The 24,070-nt window shown below is 44.7% G+C and overlaps 1 protein-coding gene and 1 long non-coding RNA gene across 3 annotated transcripts in view, besides 1 other annotated feature; both read left to right on the top strand.

Annotated features, from left to right (window-relative positions):
• Positions 1–3,772: 3,772 nt before the first annotated feature.
• Positions 3,773–16,869, top strand: LOC105376861 (uncharacterized). The gene is made up of 3 exons (XR_947068.2): positions 3,773–4,345; positions 16,226–16,325; positions 16,821–16,869. It is a non-coding gene; the product is annotated as an uncharacterized LOC105376861 (long non-coding RNA).
• Positions 16,111–16,979: an enhancer, noted in NCBI's record as "H3K27ac hESC enhancer chr1:24151920-24152788 (GRCh37/hg19 assembly coordinates)". NCBI's record gives its function as "activates a minimal SCP1, AML or CMV promoter by ChIP-STARR-seq in primed H9 embryonic stem cells {active_cell/tissue: H9 hESC(primed)}" and the evidence as "EXISTENCE:reporter gene assay evidence [ECO:0000049][PMID:30033119]".
• HMGCL (3-hydroxy-3-methylglutaryl-CoA lyase) overlaps positions 16,980–24,070 on the top strand; it is a 23,545-nt gene continuing 16,454 nt past the window's right edge. For both annotated transcript variants that reach the window (NM_001166059.2, NM_000191.3), the window contains exons 1-2: positions 16,980–17,053; positions 21,816–21,899. In NM_001166059.2, coding sequence (NP_001159531.1) covers positions 16,994–17,053; positions 21,816–21,899 — 144 coding nt within the window. In that variant the 5' untranslated portion in view covers positions 16,980–16,993. The remainder of the gene's footprint in view (positions 17,054–21,815; positions 21,900–24,070) is intronic.

Here is a 24,070-nt window from a genome sequence, read left to right as displayed (position 1 = left end):
AGACAAGACAGGGTTTCGCCATGTTGACCAGGCTGGTCTTGAACTCCTATTCTCAAGTGATCCGCCCACCTCAGCTTCCCAAAGTGCTGGGATTACAAGCGTGAGCCACCACGCCTGGCTGTATCCAATGTCTTGAGTAAATCAGCTTTGTTGAGTGTTATTCAAGAATGGCTGCTATGAAAACTTGGAGAAACTCCTTTCAAAATTGAGTCCCAAATGTGTCCCTAATCCTTAAATCTTCAATGTTGCATCCAATGTCTGAAGTAAATCCACGCTATTGGATTTGATTGCAGGCTAGTTCCAACAGAGACAGGTAGATCCAACTCCTTGTAAAATCAAATCTCAAACTGTGTTCCCATCTCTGAGACCCAGACTGCATCTAGTATCTGGAGTAAATCTGTGCTGTTGGACATGATTTCAGATTCCAGGATAGTTATGATAGAGATAAGTAATTTCAGCTTCTTACAAATCAAGGTCCAAGGTGTGTTGTTTCCTTTCCCTGAGCAGGTGGAATAGGTCTGTGGAGAGTGACGGGTGCAGATGGTTTGCTGTGAAGATGTGGATGGAACCCCTTACAAAATGGAGGTCCAAGGTGTGTCCTGGTTCTTAAACTTGAACTCCTGGCCTCAAGCCATCCTCCCACCTCCACCTTCCAAAGTGCTGGGATTATAGGCGTGAGCTACCACGCCTGACCTCAATTCTTAAGTTTTCCAGACTGTATCAGATCTTGCTACTAAATCTGTATCCAGTAAATCCATGTTGCAGGATCTTCCACAATGGAGATAATAAATTGAATGCCTTAAAAGATTTGACCTGAACTCAAATGTCTAAAGTCATTCAGTGTTGAAATGACCAGGCAAGGTCAGGATGGATTGCAATGAAGAGTGGGTTGAACGCCTTATAAAGACCCACAGTGTGTCTCAACTCTTCAGCTAGGGACCTTGGGAGGCCACTCACTCTCATTTGCCACAAAATCCTAGCGTGACAAACTATTTTTGCACTGTGCTTATCTTAGGAAACTCCGTCTCAAAAAAAATCTTATTTTGCACTGTGCTTATCTTCCCAGGCACCAGAACAGAAGGGAAAACTTGTACATAGTTGCAAATAACTTCACACTACTCCATCCCCTCTACTGCCACAGAATCTACTTTGAGGCACTAAGGAAAAAAAAAGACATCAGTTTGAAAAGTGCCCCTATCAGAGCAATATGAATTCTGCTAAAATTGAAGCAAGAACAAACATCAACATTTTTTTTTGAGGCAGTGTCTTGCTCTGTCATCCAGGCTTGAGGGCAGTGGCGCAATCACGGCTCACTGCAACCTTTGCCTCCCAGGTTGAAGAGATTCTCCTGCCTCAGCCTCCCAAGTAGCTGGGATGACAGGCACCTGCCACCACGCCCAGCCAACTTTTTGTATTTTTAGTAGAGACGGGGTTTCACCAGGTTGGCCAGGCTGGTCTCGAACTCCTGACCTCAGGTGATCTGCCTGCCTCGGCCACCCAAAGTGCTGGAATTACAGGCGTGAGCCACCACACCCAGACAAACATCAGATTTATGATGAAGCTTCAGTGGAAGAAGGTGAAATCACTGATGCTTTATGAAAAGTTTATGAGAACAATGCCTCAAATAAATCAGCAGTTTACAAATGGATAACTTATTTTAAGAAAGTGTAAGACAATGTTGAAGGTGAGGCCTGCAGCAGCAGATCATCTATATCAATTTTTGAGGAAAAAATTCACTTTGTGTCCCAACTGAAGAGAACTGGCGATTAACAGCCCAAACAACAGCCAACATCATAGACATCTAATTGGTTCGGCTTACACAATTCTGACTGAAAAAGTTCAGCAAACTTTCCACTGAATGGGTGCTAAAAGTATTGCACCCAGATAGGCCAGGTGCGGTGGCCCATGCCTGTAATCCCAGCACTTTGGGAGGCCAAGGTGGATGGATCACAAGGTCAGGGATTCGAGACCAGTCTGGCCATTATGGTGAAACCCTGTCTCTACTAAAAATACAAAAATTAGCCTAGTGGTGCGTGCCTGTAGTCCCAGCTACTCAGGAGGCTGAGGCAGAAGAATTGCTTGAACTCAGGAGGTGGAAGTTGCAGTGAGCCAAGATCGAGCCACTGCACTCTAGCCTGGGCAGCAAGAGCGAAACATCGTCTCAAAAAAAAATAATAATAATAAAATAATTTTTTAAACTCACCACCTCAGCTTTATAAAGCAGAACTTTTATTTATTTATTTATTTATTTATTTATTTATTTATTTTTATTTTTTTTGAGGTGGAGTCTTGCTCTTGTCGCCTAGGCTGGAGTGCGGTGGTACAATCTCGGCTCACTGCAACTCTGCTTCCCAGGTTCAAGAAATTCTGCCTCAGCCTGAGTGGCTGCGCCACCATAAGCGACTAATTTTTGTATTTTTAGTAGAGACGGGGTTTCACCATGTTGGTCAGTCTGGTCTCGAACTCCTGACCTACTGATCTGCCCGCCTTGGCCTCCCAATCACTTGAACCTGGGAGGAGGAGGTTTCAGTGAGCCGAGATTGTGCCACTGCACTCCAGCCTGGGCAACAGAGTGAGACTCTGTCTCAAAAACAAACAAACAGAAAGGCCAGGGAAAGCTTCACCAAAGAGTACTTCCCCACTTCAGGACAACGCTCCTGACTTCTTATTGTTTTGTAATCTTAAAAAAATCTTTAAAGGGGCCGGGCGCAGTGGCTCAAGCCTGTAATCCCAGCACTTTGGGAGGTCGAGGCGGGCGGATCACGAGGTCAGGAGATCGAGACCATCCTGGCGAACACAGTGAAACCCCGTCTCTACTAAAAATACAAAAATTAGCCCGGTGTGGTGGCAGGCACCTGTAATCTCAGCTACTCAGGAGGCTGAGGCACGAGAATTGCTTGAACCCGGGAAGCAGAGGTTGCAGTGAGCCGAGATTGCGCCACTGCACTCAAGCCTGGGCGACAAAGCGAGACTCCAAAAAAAAAAAAAAAAAAAAAAAGCTGGAGGCCGGTAGATCACGAGGTCAGGAGATCGAGACCATCCTGACTAACACGGTGAAACCCCGTCTCTACTAAAAATACAAAAAATTAGCTGGGCGTGATGGCGGGCGCCTGTAGTCCCAGCTACTCGGGAGGCTGAGGCAGGAGAATGGCGTGAACCCGGAAGGCGGAGCTTGCAGTGAACCGAGATTGTGCCACTGCACTCCAGCCTGGACGACAGAGAGAGACTCCGTCTCAAAAAAAAAAAAAAAAAAAAAAAATCTTTAAAAGGCACCCATTTTTCTTCAGTTAATAATGCAAAAAAGACTGCATTGACGTGGTTTAATTCCCAGGACCCTCTGCCCTTTAAAGGTAAACTAAATGCATATCATAGCTTTACAAAAATGTCTTGCCCTTGATAGAGCTTATACTGAGAAATGAGGTTTATATTTTTTATTTTAATATTTTGATTCCATTTTCCAATAAGTTTTTAAAGTCCCCTCATATACCTAGAGGCGAAATTACTGGGTCATATGGTAACTGTATGTTTAACCCCTTTTGTTGTGTGTGATAAAATATATGTAACATAAAACTTGTCACTTTAAACATTTTTAAGTGTACAATTCAGTGGCATTATTTTCACAATGTTGTGCAACTGAAACGGGTAAAGTTCCTTTTCCCCCTCTCAGGGCGTGCGAGGGGGGTGTGGCGTGCGACGGGGGTGTGGCGTGCGAGGGGGGTGTGGCGTGCGACGGGGGTGTGGCGTGCGAGGGGAGTGTGGCGTGCGAGGGCGGTGTGGCTCGCTTCTTCAGTGCCAGGCTGCTCAAACCTCTAGGGGGGCATACAGACAGGCAGAGGCTGTGGGCCTCCAACCCCACGGCAGCATGTAGGGGTGGATGCTTACAGCTCCTGGAGCCCCAGTGGGCGTGTGTTACAGGGTGCTCTTTTAGTTTTGCTGTCTATAGGCGACTTGTGTTAGTTAACCAGCTCGAGTGGGCTCTCAACCTTGTCATAGGACAGAGAGGGCTTTCTATATGCCGGGTTCTTGCCTTGGTGTACCAGAAGAATTGGATCACACCTGGGCTTAGAGAATGGGTGCAAGGTTTTATTGAGTAGAGGTAGCTCTTAGCAGATGTTGGAAGCCAGAAGAGAATGGAGTAGGAAGGTTTTCCCCTGGAGTGGGGCCACTCAGCAGCCCGGGACCCCCTTCCACAGTCCCAGCCAAACTCTGCGTCGTTCTGCTGGTCAGCGGCCTGCTGGCGTGCCAGTGCCTGCTGATGTGCTCCTCTGGACGTCCAGCCGCCTGTGTGTTCCTCCACTGATGTGCTCCTCTCCATGTCCGGCTACCTGTGTGTCTGCCTGCTAAGGTCTTGGGGGTTTTTATAGGCACAGGATGGGGGCGGGGCAGGCCGGGTGGTCTTGGGAAACGCAACATTGGGACAGGAAAACAAAAATGCCTGTCCTCACCTAGGTCTGTGGGGGTGGAGCTGCAGTCAAGGACCACGTTCTCACGTCCTCCTCTACCCAGCACTTCCTTCCCACCTTTCCATGTCATTTATAGGGACCATGCTCTTCTTCCCTTCCCAGCACTTCCTTCCCACCTTTCCATATCATTTATAGGGACCATGCTCTTCCCTTCCCAGCACTTCCTTCCCTCCTTTCCTTATCATTTATAGGGACCACGCTCTTCCCTTCCCAGCACTTCCTTCGCTCCTTTTTATGTCATTTATAGGGACCATGCTCTTCCCTTCCCAGCAATTCCTTCCCTCCTTTCCTTATCATTTATAGGGACCATGCTCTTCCCTTCCCAGCACTTCCTTCCCTCCTTTCCTTATCATTTATAGGGACCACGCTCTTCCCTTCCCAGCACTTCCTTCCCTCCTTTCCTTATCATTTATAGGGACCACGCTCTTCCCTTCCCAGCACTTCCTTCCCTCCTTTATATGTCATTTATAGGGACCATGCTCTTCCCTTCCCAGCACTTCCTTCCCTCCTTTTTATGTCATTTATAGGGACCATGCTCTTCCCTTCCCAGCACTTCCTTCCCTCCTTTCCTTATCATTTATAGGGACCATGCTCTTCCCTTCCCAGCACTTCCTTCCCTCCTTTCCTTATCATTTATAGGGACCATGCTCTTCCCTTCCCAGCACTTCCTTCCCTCCTTTCCTTATCATTTATAGGGACGATGCTCTTCCCTTCCCAGCACTTCCTTCCCTCCTTTCCTTATCATTTATAGGGACCATGCTCTTCCCTTCCCAGCACTTCCTTCCCTCCTTTCCTTATCATTTATAGGGACCATGCTCTTCCCTTCCCAGCACTTCCTTCCCTCCTTTCCATATCATTTATAGGGACGACGCTCTTCCCTTCCCAGCACTTCCTTCCCTCCTTTCCTTATCGTTTATAGGGACCATGCTCTTCCCTTCCCAGCACTTCCTTCCCTCCTTTTTATGTCATTTATAGGGACCATGCTCTTCCCTTCCCAGCACTTCCTTCCCTCCTTTTTATGTCATTTATAGGGACCATGCTCTTCCCTTCCCAGCACTTCCTTCCCTCCTTTCCTTATCATTTATAGGGACCATGCTCTTCCCTTCCCAGCACTTCCTTCCCTCCTTTCCTTATCATTTATAGGGACGATGCTCTTCCCTTCCCAGCACTTCCTTCCCTCCTTTCCTTATCATTTATAGGGACCATGCTCTTGCCTTCCCAGTACCTCCTTTCGGTATCACAACCGTTACTGCTACGTATTTCTAAAATTTTTCATTACCCCAAACAGAAATTATACGACCATTAAGCAATAACTCACCATTCCTCTCCCCACACCACCCCAGCCCCTGGGAACCTCTAATTTACTTTCTGTCTTTATAAATTTGCCATTCTAGGTATTTTATATAAGTGGAATCATACAATATTTGTCATCTTGTGTCTGGCTTATTATAGCATAACATTTAACATATAATATTATAGCATAATATTTCAAGGTTCACCCATGTTGTAGCAGGTATCAAAATTTTACTCTTTTTTTAAGGTTGAATAATACTTCATTGCATGTTTATCCGTTCATCAGTTGATGGACATTTCAATTGTTTATGCCTTTTGGCTTTTGTGAATAATGCTGCAATGAACATTGGTGTATAAGTATGTGTTTGAGTTCCTGACTTTCAGTTCTTTGGGGTATATACCTAGGAGTGGAATTGCTAAGTCATATGGTGAGTCCGTGGTTAGCGTTTTGAGGAACCACCAAACTGTTTTCCACAACAGTTCTACCACTTTACATTCCCACTAGCAATGTATGAAGGTTCCAATTTCTCCACATCTTTGTCAACACTTATTTTCTATTTTTTTAATTACAGCCATCCTAGTGTATGCAAAGATTCTTTTATTTTTAGGCCACTTCTTTTCAGTTATGATTTTCTGGGAAATATCCATTTCAACACAGTTTTCAGATTTATTGTCCATAAATTTGTACACTAAACATTTCAGTGTGGTGGTGGTTTTTTGTTTTTGTTTTTGTTTTTTCTGAGACAGAGTCTTGCTCTGTTGCCCAGGCTGGAGTGCAGTGGCATGATCTCGGCTCACTGTAACCTCCACCTCCCAGGTTCAAGCATTTTCCTGTCTCAGCCTCCAGAGTAGCTGGGATCACAGGCGCCTGCCACCACCCCCGGATAATTTTTGATTTTTTTTTTTTTTTTTTTTTAGTGGAGACGGGGTTTCACCATGTTGGGCCAGGCTGGTCTTGAACTCCTGACCTCGTAATCCACCTGCTTCAGCCTCCCAAAGTGGTGGGATTACAGGTGTGAGCCACCGCGCCCCACCTTCAGTGTTCTTTTAAAGGGCAATAAATGGGCCGGGTGTGGTGGCTCACGCCTGTAATCCCAGCACTTTGGGAGGCCGAAGCGGGCGGATCACGAGGTCAGGAAATCGAGACCATCCTGGCTAACACGGTGAAACCCCGCCTCTACTAAAAATACAAAAAAAAAATTAGCTGGGCGTGGTGGCGGGCGCCTGTAGTCCCAGCTACTCGAGAGGCTGAGGCAGGAGAATGGAGTGAACCCGGGAGGCGGAGCTTGCAGTGAGCTGAGATAGCGCCATTGCACTCCAGCCTGGGCAACAGAGCGATACTCCGCCTCAAAAAATAAATAAAAAATAAAAAAATAAAGGGCAATAAACGGCCGGGCACGGTGGCTCAGGCCCATAATCCCAGCACTTTGGGCGGCCAAAGCAGGTGGATCACCTGAGGTCAGGAGTTGAAGACCAGCCTGGCCAACATGGTGAAACCTCATCTCCATTAAAAATACAAAAATTAGCTTGGTACGGTGGCACGTGCCTGTGATCCCAGCTACTCAGGAGGCTGAGGCAGGAGAATCATTTGAACCTGGAGGCACAAGTTGCAGTGAGCTGAGATCGCTCCACTGCACTGCAGCCTGGGTGACAAAGCAAGCCTCTGTCTCAAAAATAAAAAATAAATTTAAAAAGGCAGTAAACATGTATGCCTTTTTTGTGATCTGTTGTGAAGCTTGTCAATTTTATTAGACTCAAAGAACCAAGTTTCTTTTTTGTTGTTGTTGTTGTTGGATGATCCTCTTTGTTGTAATATTTTCTTATTTTATTCAAATTTCTACCTTTTCAGGCCAGGTGCAGTGGTTCATGCCTGAAACCCAGCACTTCAGGAAGTTGAGGCAGGCAAATCGCTTGAGCCCAGGAGTTCATGGCGAAACCCCCTCCACAAAAAATACAAAAATTAGCTGGGTATGATGGTGTATGCCTGTAGTCCCAGCTACTCGAGAGGTTGAGACAGGAGGATCACTTGAGCCCATGAGGTTGAGGCTTCAGTGAGCTGTGATCAGACCACCACATTTTACTCTGGGCAACAGAGCAAGATGCTGTCTCAAAAAACAAACAAATTTCTGTCTTTTATTTTGTCTTTTATTTTACTTACTTTTTGTCTGTTGTTTTTCTCACACCTTTTTCTTTTCTTTTCTTTTTATTTATTTATTTATTTTTGAGATGGAGTCTTGCTCTGTCACCCAGGCTGGAGTGTAGCAGCATGATCTCGGCTCACTGCAACCTCTGCCTCCCAGGTTCAAACGATTCTCCTGCCTCAGACTCCCGAGTAGCTGTGACTACAGGCGTGTGCCAACATGCCCGGTTAATTTTTGTATTTTTAGTAGAGATAGGGTTTCACCATGTTGGCCAGGCCAGTCTCAAACTCCTGACCTCAGGTGATCTGTCTGCCTCGGCCTCCTAAAATGCTGGGATTACAGGCATGAGCCACTGCATCTGGCCTCACATCTTGAGTTAGAAACTTCATTCACTACTCTTCAACTACCTTTTCCAATACAAGCATTTGTCTTTTAATATATTTCCATTATCATTTAATTCTAAGTATATTGTAATTTCTTTTTTTTTTTTTTTTCCTTTGGAGATGGACTCTTGCTCTGTCACCCAGGCTGGAGTGCAGTGGTGTGATCTCGGCTCACCGCAACCTCCGCCTCCTGGGTTCAATTAATTCTCCTGCCTCAGCCTCTGTAGTAGCTGGGATTATGGACATCAGCCACCATGCCCAACTAATTTTTGTATTTTTAATAGAGACAGGGTTTTGCATGTTGGTCAGGCTGGTCTTGAATTCCTGACCTCAAGTGATCCACCCTTCTCAGCCTCCCAAAGTGCTGGGATTACAGGCAGGAGCCGCCACACCCGGCCTATTATAATTTCTTTCTTTTCTTTTCTTTTTTTTTTTTTTAGACCGAGTCTTGCTCTTCTTGCCCAGGCTGGAGTGCAATGGCACAATCTTGGCTCACTGCAACCTCTGCCTCCCAGGTTGAAGCTATTCTCCTGCCTCAGCCTCCCAAGTAGCTGGGATTACAGGCACCTGCCACCACGCCCAGCCAATTTTTTGTATTTTTAGTAGAGACAGGGTTTCACCATGTTGGCCAGGCTGGTCTCAAACTCCTGACTTCAGGAGATCCACCTGCCTCAGCCTCCCAAAGTGCTGAGATTACAGGTGTGAGCCACTGTGCCTGGCCTATAATTTCTATTTTGATTTTTTCTTTGACCCATGAGTTAGGGTTTTTTTCCCCATACTTTCCAAGCATAAAGTTATGTCTAACTTAATTGCTCTAACTTGAGTTTTCCATCAGAATTGTGTAAACTGAACCAATTGAGATGTCTATGGTGTTGGCTACTGTTTGTGCTGTTAATTGTCGGTCCTCTTCAATTAAGGCACAAACAAGATGAGTTTATTCCCCAAAAATTGATGTGTATGACCTGCTGCTGTGGGCTTCATTTTCAACATAATCTCATCTCTTCTTAAAATGAGTTATCCAGTTGGGTATGGTGGCTCATGCCTGCAATCCCAGCATTTTGGGATGCCAAGGTGAGAGGATCACTTGAGCCCAGGAGTTCAAGACCAGCCTTGGCAACATAGTAAGACCCTCATCTCTACAAAAAATACAAAACAAAAAATTTAGCTGGGTATGGTGGCATGTGCCTGTCATCCCAGCTACTTGAGAGGCTGAGGTGGGAGGATCACTTGAACCCAAAGGCTCAAGGCTGCAGTGAGCTATGATTGTGCCACTGCACTCCAGCCTGGGTGACAGAGAAAGACCCTGTCTCAAACACACACACACACACACACACACACACACACACACACACACTTATCCATTTGTCATTAATTATGGTTAATTAATAGGATATACATGTCACCAATTTTTTGAAATTTGCTTTATGGACCAGAATATCATAAACATTCATAAAAGTTGACACTGACTAAGTTCCACTACTGTAAAAAGTCTGCTATTGCTCTCACAGGATTTGCAGAAAGGCAGATGTTGGATTTAAACATTATTATTCCCACTTGCAGAAGAGATGTCATCTGCTTTTAAGGAAAAGCTATAAACAGAAATTTGCTGTTGTGCATTAGAAATGCAATCTGAGGCCAGGCGTGGTGGCTCATGCCTGTAATTTCAGCACTTTGGGAGGCCGAGGCGGGTGGATCACCTGAGGTCAGGAGTTTGAGACCACCAGCCTGACCAATATGGTGAAACCCCGTCTCTACAAAAATTAGCCAGGTGTGGTGGTGGGCACCTGTAGTCCCAGCTATTGGGGAGGCTGAGACAGGAGAATTTCTTGAACCCAGGAGGTGGTGGTTGCAGTGAGCCAAGATCACGCCACTGCATTCCTGCCTGGCGACAGAGCAAGACTCCGTCTCATTAAAAAAAAAAAAATTAAAAAGAAAAAAAAAAGTCCTGGGAAAAAAAACTATTACCATAAAATCTGAAGGTCTGAGAAAGGTGCACAGAATTGTGGTGAATCTTATTTACTACTGCGGTCTTAGCACCTAGCACCAACTTGTGCCTTAATCACAGCAGCCATCTCTTTTAGTAATTTGGAGAGAAAGGAAGAGGAAAGAGGGAATAGTGTTATCATGTAGCAAAGAAAGCATTCTCTAGAGTCAGATTTGGGTCTGAACTTACCTACCATACATGATCTTAGAAAAGTTATTTAATGTCTCTTAAGCCTCCGTTTCCTCATTTCTCAGATGGAAAGAGTAACATTTATGTTGCAGAGTCTGATTACTCATGAAAAGTTACTATATATCACAACCAATACAGAAAATATACTTAATAAATGGTAGGGGCTATTGTTAATAATTATTGTAAGCTTTGTAATTGAGGGTGGGTTACAATGCAAAAAAGGAAACATCTTGGTTAAAATAAGATTCCAACTAAGGGTGACCCTGAGCAAAGTCTGTAACAGTTGCTAGTGTTACTCTTTCAGTATTTACTTCATGCCACCAAATGTGCCTGGTATTGGAGACACCACATTCAACAACCAGTTAAAGTCTCTGCCCTTTAGTTTAGACATTTGCCTCAGAGCTGTGCTTGTAAGTTATTTACTTTTGAGAATTTGCCAACAAGGGCTTTTAGGGGGGCAAACAGAGGAAGGAGAGAAGCCTCGTGTCTGTGACAATTAGGAGTAGTAGGGACTGGGGAGCTGGCAAGGGTATGCCTTGCCTAAGTCTTTTTTTCTTGTGCAGTTACTTATTTTTTTTTATTGTTTAAAATATATATAGCATAAAGTTTACCATTTTAATTCAGTGCCATTAAGTACATTCACATTGTTATACAACCATCTCCACTATCCAGAACTCCTTCATATCCCAAACTGAAATTCTGTACCCATTAAACAATAACTCCCAATTTCTTTCCACTCCCAGCCCCCAATAACTACTATTCAACTTTCTTTCTCTATGAATTTGACTATAATAAAGTCCTCATTGTAATAGTTAGGATTCTCCAGAGAAACAAAACCAATAAAAGATGATATATAGGCCGGACCCAGTGGCTCACGCCTGTAATCCCAACACTTTTGGAGGCTGCTGGAGCACCTGAGGTTAGGAGTTCAAGACCAGCCTGGCCAACATGGTGAAACCCCGTCTCTATTAAAAAAAAATGCAAAAATTAGCCAGGCGTGTTGTTGGGTGCCTGTAGTCCCAGCTACTCGGTAGGCTGAGGCGGGAGAATCGCTTGACCCGTGGAGGTTGCAGTGAGCCAAGATCGCGCCACTGCACTCCAGCCTGGGCAACAAGAGCAAAACTCTATCTTAAAAAAAAAAAAAAAAAAGATATGTATATGTATGAAATATGATCTGCTGTCAGCAAGCTGGAGACCAAAAAAAGCCAGTGAGGTGTAGCTCCAGTTGAAGCCCAGGGGCCTGAGAATGAGAGGAACCAATGGTGTAGTGTAAGTCCCAGTCTGAATGTAGAAGAGAGAATTCTTCCTTCCCCACCTTTTTGTTCTATTCAGGCCTTCGAAGAATTGGATGATGCCCCCCACATTGAGGGAGTAATCTGCTTTACTCCCTTTACTGATTCAAATGCTAACCTCATTCAGAAATGCCCTCACAGACACACCCGGAAATAATGTGTAGTCAAATATTTGGATACCCTGTGGCCTAGTCAAGTTGACACATAAAATTAACCATCACACCCACATAAGTGGAATCATGAAATTTGCCCTTTTGTGTCTGGCTTAGCAGAATATTTTTAAGGTTTATCCATGTTGCAACATGTGTCAGAATTGTATATCTTTTCAAGAATGAGTAACTATTGTAGGTATACAATATAGCACATTTTGTTCATCCATTTATCTGTTAATGCACATGTGCGTTCTGTACGCCTTTTGGCCATCACAGATAATGTTACTATGAGCAACATTATTGCTCATTGTGTTAGACAGGGTTCTCCAGAGAAACAGAACCAATAGGAGAGTTTTTATATATATATATATATATATATATATATATATATATATATACACACACACACACATATGCATATATAATAAGTATATTATATATAAATATACTATATAAAAATATATAATTATAAATAAAATAAAATATAATATATTTATTATATAATTTGTTATATAATAATTTATAAGTATATATTATATATTAATATATTTAAAATTATATATGTAAATTTATATATACATAAAAGCTACTCAGGAGGCTGAGGTGGGAGGGTCACCTGAGCCCAGGGAGGTGGAGGCTGCAGTGAGCTGTGATTGCACCACTGCACTCCAGCCTAGGTGACACAGTAAGACCCTGTCTCAAAAAAAAAAAAAAAATTAGGCTGGGCGCGGTGGCTCACACCTGTAATCCCAGCACTTTGGGAGGCCAAGGTGGATGGATCACTTGAGGTCAGCAGTTCGAGACCACCCTGACCAACATGGTGAAACCCCATCTCTACTAAAAATACAAAAATTGGCCAGGTGTGGTGGTGTATGCCTGTAATCCCAGCTTCTCGGGAGGCTGAAGCATGAAAATTGCTTGAACCCAGGAGGCGGAGGTTGCAGCGAGCTGAGATTGCACCACTGCACTGCAGCCAGGGTGATAGAGTGAGACTCAGTCTCAAAAAAATAAATAAATAAAACAAAAATAAAAACAAACATTACCATATGATCCAGGAATTTCACTTCTAGAAATATACTGAAAATAATTGCAAACAAGGAATTAAACAGATATTCACATACCAATAATGTTGCTATGTTGCTCATAAATATATATTCTTGTATATACAGAATATAAATATATATGTATATTTATAAATAAATTTATATTCTATACATTCTATATATAAATATATAAATAAATATATTTATATTCTGTATATACAAGAATATGTATTTATGAGGAACATAGCAACACTATTGGTATATGTACATATGTTTAAGTCCATGTTTTCAATTATTTTGGGTATATTCCTAGAAGTGAAATTCCTGGATCATATGGTAATTTTTATTTTTATTTTTTATATTTTTTCAGACAGGGTCTCACTGTCACCTAGGTTGGAGTGCAGTGGTGCAATCACAGCTCACTGCAGCTTCCACCTCCCTGACATTTTAACAATATTAAGTCTTCTTGGCTGGGTGCTGGGACTCACATCTTTAATCTCAACACTTTGGGGCACCAAAACAAGAAAGATCACTTGAGCCCAGGAGTTCAAGACCAGCCTGGGCAACATGGCAAGACCATTGTCGGCCAAAAAATTTAAAACTTAGCTGGTTGTGATGGTGCATGCACCAGTGGTCCCGGCTACTCAGGAGGCTGAGGTGGGAGGATGGCTTGAGTGCAGGAGGCTGAGGCTACAGTGAGCTATGATTGCACTATTACACTCCAGCCTGGGCAAGAGAATGAGTGAGACCCCATCTAAAAAAAAAAAAAAAAGGCTGGGTGTGGTGGCTCACGCCTGTAATTCCAGCACTTTGGGAGGCCGAGGAGAGCGGATGACTTGAGGTCAGGAGTTTGAGACCAGCCTGGCCAACATGGTGAAACCCCGTCTGTACTAAAAATACAAAAATTAGCTGGGCGTAGTGGCAGGTGCCTGTAATCCCAGCTACTCGGGAACCTGAGGCAGGAGAATCGCTTGAACCCGGGAGGCGGAGGTTGCAGTGAGTCGAGATTGCGCCTCTGCACTCCAGCCTGGGTGACAGAGTGAGACTCTGTCTCAAAAATAAATAAATAAGTAAACAAACAATAAAATAAATAACAATAAAAATAAATTAAAAATTAAAAAATTCAAAGCAAAAGCAAACAAACTAAAAAACAGTATTAAGTCTTCCAATTCATGAACATGGGATGTCCTACCACTATGTCTTCTTTAATTTTTTTCACCAATGGTTTATAATTTTCAGTGTACAAGTCTTGAAAGACATATTTTAAATAATACCATGCCAGTATGTTTGGGCCGAGTGCAGCCCTCTAACACAGGTTTGAGAATTCTGTGAGTAATGCTCCCAGTGTCATGATAGAGAAAATTTCCAGTGCTGCTGAAGCCTAACAGAATAATTATCATGTCTTGTTTTTTCCCTAGATAAAATCTGAGCTCCTTAAAGTCAAGGAAAGTGCCTTCACTGCCTTCCCTGAGAATACCAGACACACAATTAACATCCAACCAGTAGCCCCTGTGACTATTTAAAAATGCAAATTCAATCAGATTTCCCTACTCTAAATCATTCAAAATCACTGCTATTAGGACAGCTGGTATTAGTGTGTTCACCAAAGCCCTGTGACAGTTCCTGCCAAACTCTCCAATCTTAGTAGGAAGTCCCCTTCCTACTCCCTCCCCGCTCTCCAATCATTCCAGCCTTCTTTTCATCTTGCTAAAAAGGTGTTTTCAAACAATTCCAAGTGCAGCCCACAGTAAGAAATTTATTTTACATTGCAACCTTGTTGATATATATAATGAACAAAAGTTTTGCAAAGCAGTACTTGGCTTTACTACTTTTATACATTGTATTCTAATATTTTTCTTATTTATTATTATTATTTATTTAGTTTTTAGACAGAGACTCGTTCTGTCACTCAGGCTGAAGTGCAGTGGCGTGATCTCGGCTCACTGCAACCTCCGCCTCCCAGGTTCAAGTGATTCTCCTGTCTCAGCCTCCTGAGTAGCTGGGATTACAGGCACGCACCACCATGCCCAGCTAATTTTTGTATTTTTAGTAGAGACGGGGTTTCACCATGTTGGTCAGGCTGGTCTCGAACTCCTGACCTCAAGTGATCCGCCCACCTCGGCCTCCCAAAGTGTTGGGATTACAGGCATGAGCCACCACACCTGGCTATTTTTCTTATTTATTGAATAGACTTGGGGTCTCACTTTATTGGCCAGAGTGGTCTTCAAGTTCTGACCTCAAGTGATCCTCCCACCTCGACCTCCCAAAGTGCTGGAATTACTGGTGTAAGCCACTGCACCCAGCCTTTTCTCTTTTATTATTATTTTTATTTTTTTAGATCACTCTTTTATTATTTTATAGAGCAATATTTTATATTTGGGGCCTGGCACAGTGGCTCACGCCTGTAATCCCAGCACTTTGGGAGGCCGAGGAGGGTGGATTGCTTCAGCCCAGGCCAACATGGTGAAATCCTCCATCTCTACTAAAAATACAAACATTATCTGGGCACGGTGATGGGCACTTGTAATCCCAGCTACTCCGGAGGCTGAGGCAGGAGAATCGCTTGAACCCCGGGGTCAGAGGTTGCAGTGAGCCGAGATCACGCCACCGCACTCCAGCCTGGGCAACACAGTGAGACTTCGTCTTAATAAATAAATATAGATGGATAGATAGATAGATAGATAGATAGATAGATAGATAGATGATAGATAGATAAAATTCTAGTTCTTTGTTTTAAATAAAGTTTGTACCCACTAAATTGATACTGTGACCAATTAGTGGGGTACAACATACAGTTTGAAAACAGTGCTCTGGCCGGGGGCGGTGGCTCTCGCCTGTAATCCCAGCATTTTGGGAGGCCAAGGCGGGCGGATCACCTGAGGTCAGGAATTTGAGACCAGCCTGGCCAACACGGTGAAACCTCGTTTCTACTAAAAACACTAAAATTAGCCAGGCGTGGTGGTGCACACCTGTAATCCCAGCTACTCGGGAGACTGAGGCACGAGACTCTCTTGAACTCGGGAGGCGGAGGTTGCAGTGAGCCGAAATCGCGCCACTGCACTCCAACCTGGGTGACAGAGTGAGACTCCATCTCAAACAAACAAAACAAACCAACAAAACAAAAGAGAGAAAAACAGTGTTCTCAGCATTTTCTTTGCCTCAGGGCCATTGCGAATGCTACACCGTCTGGAAAGTTTTTCTTGTATCCTCTTCACCTGGATAGATTTTTTTTTTTTTCAGCCCTTCAGAAAGTACACCTAGATAAATCTTAATCATTTTTTTAAGGTATGAAATCTAAGGATGCCCCCTCTCTGGAGCTGCCTGCCTGTGTTTGAATCCTGAAGATCGTGATGCGTGAGTTAATCCGTGCTAAGAACTCGGAACAGTGAGTAGCAAATCGTTGCTTCTTATAGTGCAAGTTAGAAATGACACAACTGTTTGTGTAACTATTAATATGTGTCTCCTCACACCTCCCACACTCTAAACACAAGAAGCCACAGAATTTGGTTAATTTCTTTTCATGTTTTTGTTTGTTTGGTTTTGGGTTTTTTGTTTTGGACAGGCTCTCACTGTGTCGCCCAGGCTGGAGTGCAGTGGCACGATCTCCGCTCGCTGCAACCTCGCCTCCCGGGTTCAAACAATTCTCCTGCCTCAGCTTCCCAAGTAGCTGGGATTACAGGCGCCCACCACCACGCCCGGCTTTTTTTTTTTTTTTTTTTTTTTTTTTTTTTTTTTGGATTTTTTGGAGAGACGGGGGTTTCGCCATGTTAGCCAGGCTGGTCTCGAATTCCTGACCTCAGGTGATCTACCCGCCTCGGTCTCCCAAAGTGCTAGGATTACATGGTGTCCAGGCTGATTCTGTTCATCTTTATATTCCTAGCGTCTCACTTGGCCTGGCATGGAAGAGGCGCTCGGAATCAAAACGGAGAGAGGCTGGGGGTGGAGCCAGCTTCGGAAGTCACGGCGGAGGGGCGGGGGCGGGGCCGCGCCCACCAGACGAGCCATCGGTCACGCGGGGCCCAGCTGGACTGCCGCGGGGGATTCTGGGCCAAGATGGCAGCAATGAGGAAGGCGCTTCCGCGGCGACTGGTGGGCTTGGCGTCCCTCCGGGCTGTAAGTGCCCCGAGCCGCCGAGGCGGCGGCCCTGCAGGCACTCTGACTGTCAGGGTTGGGGGCTTGGCCCGTGGTGACTGCTCTCTTAGAGGCGAGGCCGGACAGCTCTCAGGCCAGAGTCGGGAGGGCGTTGGAGTCCTGGACCCTCCCTTTTCCCCTCAAATCCTTTGAAGGGGATGGGAAAACTGAGGTCCGGAGAGGTGGAGTGACTTGTCTGGGTCATGGAGACCTGGGACGCCATCCTAGGTGCCCTGATTCCCCGCCCAGGGCCCTTTCCGATGACCCTGGCCCCTTTCTCCCTCTAATTGAACTTCAGACCTCTCCAACTCTTCATTAGTGAAAATCAAGAACACGCTTCCATTTCCTTCGTCTCCATTTCCAACTGTTGTTGCTTTTAGAGATGCTTGGGGAACTATCCCAGCCTACCGAGCGGGACTTGCGTTGATTGGAGCCAAGCTGTGATTCCCTTGGAATTGCACTTTGATCCTGTTCGATCCTGATGTTTTCCCCTCTCCCATTCTCAGCGCAGAAAAAGTGTGGGAGACGTAGCTGTATGGAGCAGAAAAAATAAAAGCTGAAGCTAGGGTGTCCCAATAGTTCTGCCACTTTCTAGACTTAATGACATAGTTATTTACTTTCTCTAAACCTCAGCTCTTTCGTCTGTAAAACGGACAACATTCCCTTGGGGTTGTTTTGGAAATTAGAGAAAATGTAAGTAACACATCTGGCAGTGTTCTGGCTCCTAATAAGTGATCAGTCGGTGGTGGTATTTTTACCTTAGGGAGTTGAGAAGGAGTTATAACTGTATAGAGGGAAAAATACACTCCTGGCACTGGGTCCCTCTCAGAAAGCCACGTTAATATCTTTACTTGGCCATTCACCTGCACCACCTGCTCATGTGTAAAATGAAGATGGCAATTCCAACTTGGAAAGTTAAACGCAATAGTAGATATTAATAAGCTTTTAAGAAATATTTGGTGTAATGAGATGGCCCTCCATGGGGTTCCAAGCATAGGAACCAGTATTAGTATTAGGCCTAGATATGGGTTCAAGTCCAAGCTCTGTCACTTTCTAATTGTGATTTTTGGGTAACCTTTCTGAGGCTTAGTTTCTTCACCTACGGAGTTGGGATAATAATAGTCCCTGGCCTGTAGTTTAACACTGGGTTTAGTCAGTATTCGCTGTTGGTGTTGATGCAGGTACACCATACCTCAGGACACTGTGGCACAGTACTTGTGTGGTTAGGGGGACCCTCTCTGAGCAGAGCTTTACAGAGGAGGAACGGGATGTTTAACCAGGAGAAGACTGTGGACCGAACGAACGGTGGTAAAGAGGCAACAGTGGCCCAGAGGTTAGGAGCTTGTGCTCTAGAGCCACACTGCCAGGTTTAGATATTGCCTCAGTGAGTAACTCCCCATGTCACCTCGGGAAGATTACTTAATCTCTTTGGGTCTCAGATTTCTTTTCTTTTCTTTCTTTTTTTTTTTCCTGAGACGGTGTCTTGCTCTGTCATCTGTCACCCAGACTGGAGTGCAGTGGCTCAATCTCAGCTCACTGCAACCTCTGCCTCCCAGGTTCAAGCGATTCTTCTGCCTCAGCCTCCCAAGTGGGGCCTTAGATTTCTTACAGTAAAATGGGGATGATGATAGTTCCTACCTGATAAGATTGTTGAGAGGACAGTATGGGTTAATATGTAAATGGCTCACCAGGCGTGGTGGCTCATGCCTATAATCCTAGCACTTTGGGAGGCTGAGGTGGGTGGATCACTTGAGGTCGGGAGTTCGGGACCAGCCTGGCCAACCTGGTGAAATCCTGTCTCTACTAAAATACAAAAAATTAGCCAGGTGTGGTGGTGCGCACCTGTAGTCCCAGCTACTCGGGAGGCTGAGGCAGGAGAATCACTTGAACCTGGGAGGTGAAGGTTGCAGTGAGCCAAGATCGCGCCACTGCTCTCCAGCCTGGAGACAGAATGAGACTGTATCTCAAATAAATAAATAAATAAATAAATATGTAAATGGCTCTTGTATGTGCCTGGCAAATATTAAGTGTTTAAAAACTGAATTATTATGTGAAGAGCTGTTACGGGGAAGGAAGGAAGTGGAATTGAGTTTATAATGTTCTAATAAAAGCAGCTTGGAAGCAGGTTTTAGAAGCTTTTTTTTTTTTTTTTTTTTTTGAGATGAAGAAGTCTCGCTCTTGTACCCCAGGCTGGAGTACAATGGCACGATCTCAGCTCACTGCAACCTCCTCCTCCTGGGTTCAAGCAATTCTCCTGCCTCAGCCTCCCGAGTAGCTGGGATTGCAGGCACCTGCTGCCATGCCTAGCTAATTTATGTGTTTTTAGTAGAGATAGGGCTTCACCATGTTGGCTAGGCTGGTCTCGAACTTCTGACCTCAGGTGATCTGCCCACCTCGGCCTCCCAAAGTGCTGGGATTACAGGCGTGAGCCACCACGCTTGGCCTGAAGCAGGTTTTAGATTATTTCAGCAACACTCAACTGTTATTTATCGAGCCCCTATTATGTCCCAGGGCCTTAGAAATACAGCATTGAATAAAACAAAGTCCCTGTCTCATGAAACTTATGTTCCAGTGAGATAGTTTTAGGGTGATATACTAGCAGAGGCTGAACATCCCTGTTGGAGGGAGATTCAAGTTGCAGGGACCTTCCAACTTAGCCTGTTGACGTCATGAAATTCAATGGCTCATCGCCTTAGTCTCTAAGAAAGCTTGTTGGCTAAAACAAGGCCAGTCAGGTGAGTTGTACATGTTCCAGCTGCTTCCTAGCAGGGAATTCCTGGGGGACTTCAGGGGGTTGAGATCCTTAGCGGATCACACAGTGTGCCTTCCGCTTTGCCTCGTTGTAGTATATTTATCCAGATTAAATCTGTAAAACAAAGTTGATTTGAAAAGTTACAGTATCAAGACAGGTAGAGGAAAGAGGAAAAAAAAAGTATTGTGTTACTTGATAGGGAAGACTAAGATTTTGAGCTGACTTTATATAGAGGAGACTCAGGGCATTTTGTAAAAACTGTCTTCAGCTACTGGGGGTGTCACCTCCCCTTAGACCCATGCTTGTCATCACCCAGCCTATGACTGTAACAGAAGAGAGCCCTCCTGCATCTCGCCCATACCCCGAAAAGTCCAGGACTGACTACTCCTCCCCACACTCAGTAATTGCTCTCTTCTGGGACAGCTGTGTCCTTCATGGTTTATGTGTTATTTTAATAACTTTAAAGAGTGGCTACTTTGTACCAAACACGGTGCCAAACACTAGGGATGAAGTGGAGTTGAGACAGACAAGGTCCCTCAAAGAGCTTATGTTCTACTGGAAGAGACATTGAGTAGGCATTCTTTATCGTGCTTTGAAGGAAATAATTATAGCTCTGCAATAGCGAAAATAATGGGGGTGGGAGGAATGGCAGCTTTGCAAAGGGTGGTCAGAGGAAGCCTCTCTGCAACTGAAAGATGAGAGAGAGATGTAAGAACAGCCAGTTTTTTTAAAAAAAGCCAGATGAGGAACCCTGGGGCAGAGGGAAGAGAAGGCAGGGAGCTTAGCAACCTGTTGGGTGGAGGTTGGGAGTGGACAGTAGGGGCGAGTGATGATTCCAGGAGGTCAGAGGAGGCAACTCATACAGTCTTTTCTTTTCTTAATTGGAAAGCATCAAGTGACATATAGAGTCATTTAATTTTTTTTTTTGAGACAGGGTCTCGCTCTGTTGCCCAGGCTGGAGTGTAGTGGCACAGTCATAGCTCACTGCAGGCTCAACCTTCTGGGCTCAAGCGATTCTCCCACCTCAGCCTCTTGAGTAGCTGGGACTACATGTCCATTCCACCACACCTGGCTAATTTTTCTATTTTTAGTAGAGACGGGGTTTCTTCATCATGTTGGCCAGGCTGATCTCGAACCTCTGGCCTCAAGTGATCTGCCTGCCTTGGCCTCCCAAAGTGCTGGGATTACAGGCATGAGCCACCGTGCCTGGCCTTTTTTTATTTTTTTTGGAAATGGAGTCTTCCTCTGTCGCCCAAGGTGGAGTACAGTGGCACGATCTTGGCTCATTGCAACTTCCACCTCCCTGGTTCAAGCAATTCTCCTGCCTCAGCCTCTTGAGTAGCTGGAGTTACAGGCGTGCACCACCACACCCGGCTATTTTTTGTGTATTTTTAGTAGAGATGGGGTTTCACCATGTTGGTCAGGCTGGTCTCAAACTCCCGACCTCAAGTGATCGCCCGCTTCGGCCTCCCAAAGTACTGGGATTACAGGCATGAGCCACTGCCCCCCGCAATACCTGGCCTTTTTAAACTACTTCTAACATACATACAGCAGCATACAGAGTCCTATAGGCCATGGTGAATAGGTGAAATGGCTCAATGAAGTTCTGGCTTATGCAGTAGGGTACATGCGATGCCTTTGACAGAGATGGAAAGGATGGAGTCAGATGGGCTTTAGGAGAAATTAGAGTTCTGTTTCGGGACTGCTATATGAAGAGATGCGAATAGAGCTGTCAGGTAGGCAGTGGAAAAGGAGTCTGGACTTCAGGGGAGAACCGGTACTGGAAGGATGAATCTCTTGCTTGTTCCTGTTACTAAGTGAAATATTCTTTTTGTTCTTAATTCTAAAATAGACCAAATGTGAATTAAATGGTGAGAAATATTTCTTCTTGTCTCATTATTAGTGAAGATAGATCCATTCTTTCATATTGGTCTCCCTGGGAATTGTGGCAATCTCTTCCTCATACTTTTTGTTTCCTCTTTTAAACCAAAGGTCAGCACCTCATCTATGGGCACTTTACCAAAGCGGGTGAAAATTGTGGAAGTTGGTCCCCGAGATGGACTACAAAATGAAAAGGTAAAGTTGGAAATGAGCCAAAAAAACAGTTTTTTCAAGCATCTGCTTTGAGTATTACGTGTGATAGGTGCAATGGCAGTTGACAGAGCTATGCAAGATGTGATTCCTCTGCACAAGTTAGGGGAGAGTAGAGGAGGCCAAACAGGGACAGACACCTGTGACAGTTAAATGATCTAAAATGGTGGGGCAAGCTGGATGGGTGGCTCATGCCTGTCATCCCTAATTACTTGGGAGGCTGAGGTGGGAGGATGGCTTGAGCCCAGGAGTTTGAGACCAGTCTGGGCAATATAGCAAGACTCTATCTTATTAAAAAATATATGTATATATATAAACTGAATGGTGGTGCAACAGGTTTGGTGTCCCCAGGTCCACAGCCCAGTGGGGTGGGGTAGACCCAGCAATTCCATGTAAGGGGATTTATCCAAAGCAAGTCACGAAGGCCAAATGTAGAGATTTAGCCTTGGGGGTGTTCCTTACAAACCTGTTTGGTAAGCACAGAACAGTTGGAAACAACTTAAATATTTAGTATGAGGAAAGTTGGGTCAGATACACTATGGACTTTTTATAAAATGAAATATTATGAAGCCATTAATAACATAGGTATATATAAAGTGACTCAAGCAGTTTATAAAATAGTACATGTGACTGGGCATGGTGGTGGCTCATGCCTGTAATCCCAGCACTTCAGGAGGCTGAGGCAGAGCACGATTCTGTCTCCAAACAAAAACAAATAGTGCATGTGCGCGTACGCACGCGCGCGTGTGTGTGTGTGTGTTTTTGGGAGATGGCATCTCACTCTGTCACCCAGGCTGGAGTGCAATGGCGCAATCTCGGCTCACCTCAACCTCCTCCTCCCGGGTTCAAGTGATTCTCCTGCCTCAGCCTCCCGAATAGCTAGGATTACAGGCCCCTGCCACCATGCCCAGCTAATTTTTGTATTTTTAGTAGAGATGGGGTTTCACCAGGTTGGCCGGGCTGGTCTTGAACTCCCGACCTCAGGTGATCCACCTGCCTCAGCCTCCCAAAGTGCTGGGATTACAGGCATGAGCCAATGCGCCTGGCCATGTATTTTTTAATCTTAACACTTTTATGTAAGAAAAAAGTTTATATATGTATGGGAGCATTTATCTAGACTAGGACCTAGACCAGCACTTTCTGTGAAGATGGAAATATTCTGGACCTGAGCTTTTCCATGTGGTGGCCACTATACCCATGTGGCCCTTGAGAACTTGAGATGTGACTAGTGTGGCCAAGGAATTGTATTTTTATTTTTATACAATTTTTATTAAATTTAAATAACCACATGTGACTAGTGACATATTGGGCTGCACAGATCTAGAAAGTTACACACCAGGGTGTTAATAGCGTTATCACTGGGAGATTCTAAGGGTGGTTTTCTTTTGTTTTTGGCATGTTTTTCTGAAAGAATCATATATTGATTATTTTTTCAATAAGAAAAGCTTTTTTCTTTTTCTCTTTTTTTTTTTTTTTTTTTTTTTTTTTAGCACGTCCATCCTAGCTTTAATAGTGAGTGCTTGTTGGAAACAATAGTGTGTAAGTTCCCGAAGGGCAGAATCCTGTCTGTTCTGCTTCTGCTTACTGCTATATCCCCGGCACCTAGCACAATGCCTGCAACATGGAGGGCTTTCAAAAATTATTTGACAGGCTGGGCATGATGGCTCATGCCTGTAATACTGGCACTTTGGGAGGCTGAGGCAGGCAGATCACCTGAGGTCAGGAGTTTGAGACCAGCCTGGCCAACATGGTGAAACCCCATCTCTACTAAAATAAATGAGCTGGGGTGGTGGCATGCTTGTGTAATCCCATCTACTCTGGAGGCTGAGGCAGGAGAATCGCTTGAACCCGGAAGGCGGAGGTCGCAGTGAGCTGAGATTGTGCCACTGCACTCCACTCTGGGCAATACAGTGAGACTCCATCTCAAAAAAAAAAAAATTTTGTGGAAAGATTAAGTTAGAGCAGTGGGAGAGAAACTGGAGAAGGCAGGCAAGGGGAGGACCTAGCGAGAAGGACCTGGAGTATTTTTGTGTGTTCTTTTTGTTTGAGACAGGGTCTTGCTCTGTGTCACTCAGTGCAGTGGCACAATCATTGCTCACTGCAGCCTCGACTTCCCAGGCTCCAGTGATCCACCTCAGCCTCCTGAGTAGCTGGAT

This window comes from Homo sapiens, chromosome 1, assembly GCF_000001405.40.
Source record: "Homo sapiens chromosome 1, GRCh38.p14 Primary Assembly".
NCBI classification, from domain to species: Eukaryota; Metazoa; Chordata; class Mammalia; order Primates; family Hominidae; genus Homo; species Homo sapiens.
Note: the sequence above shows the minus strand (reverse complement) of the source record. Positions and strands in the feature narration are given on the sequence as shown.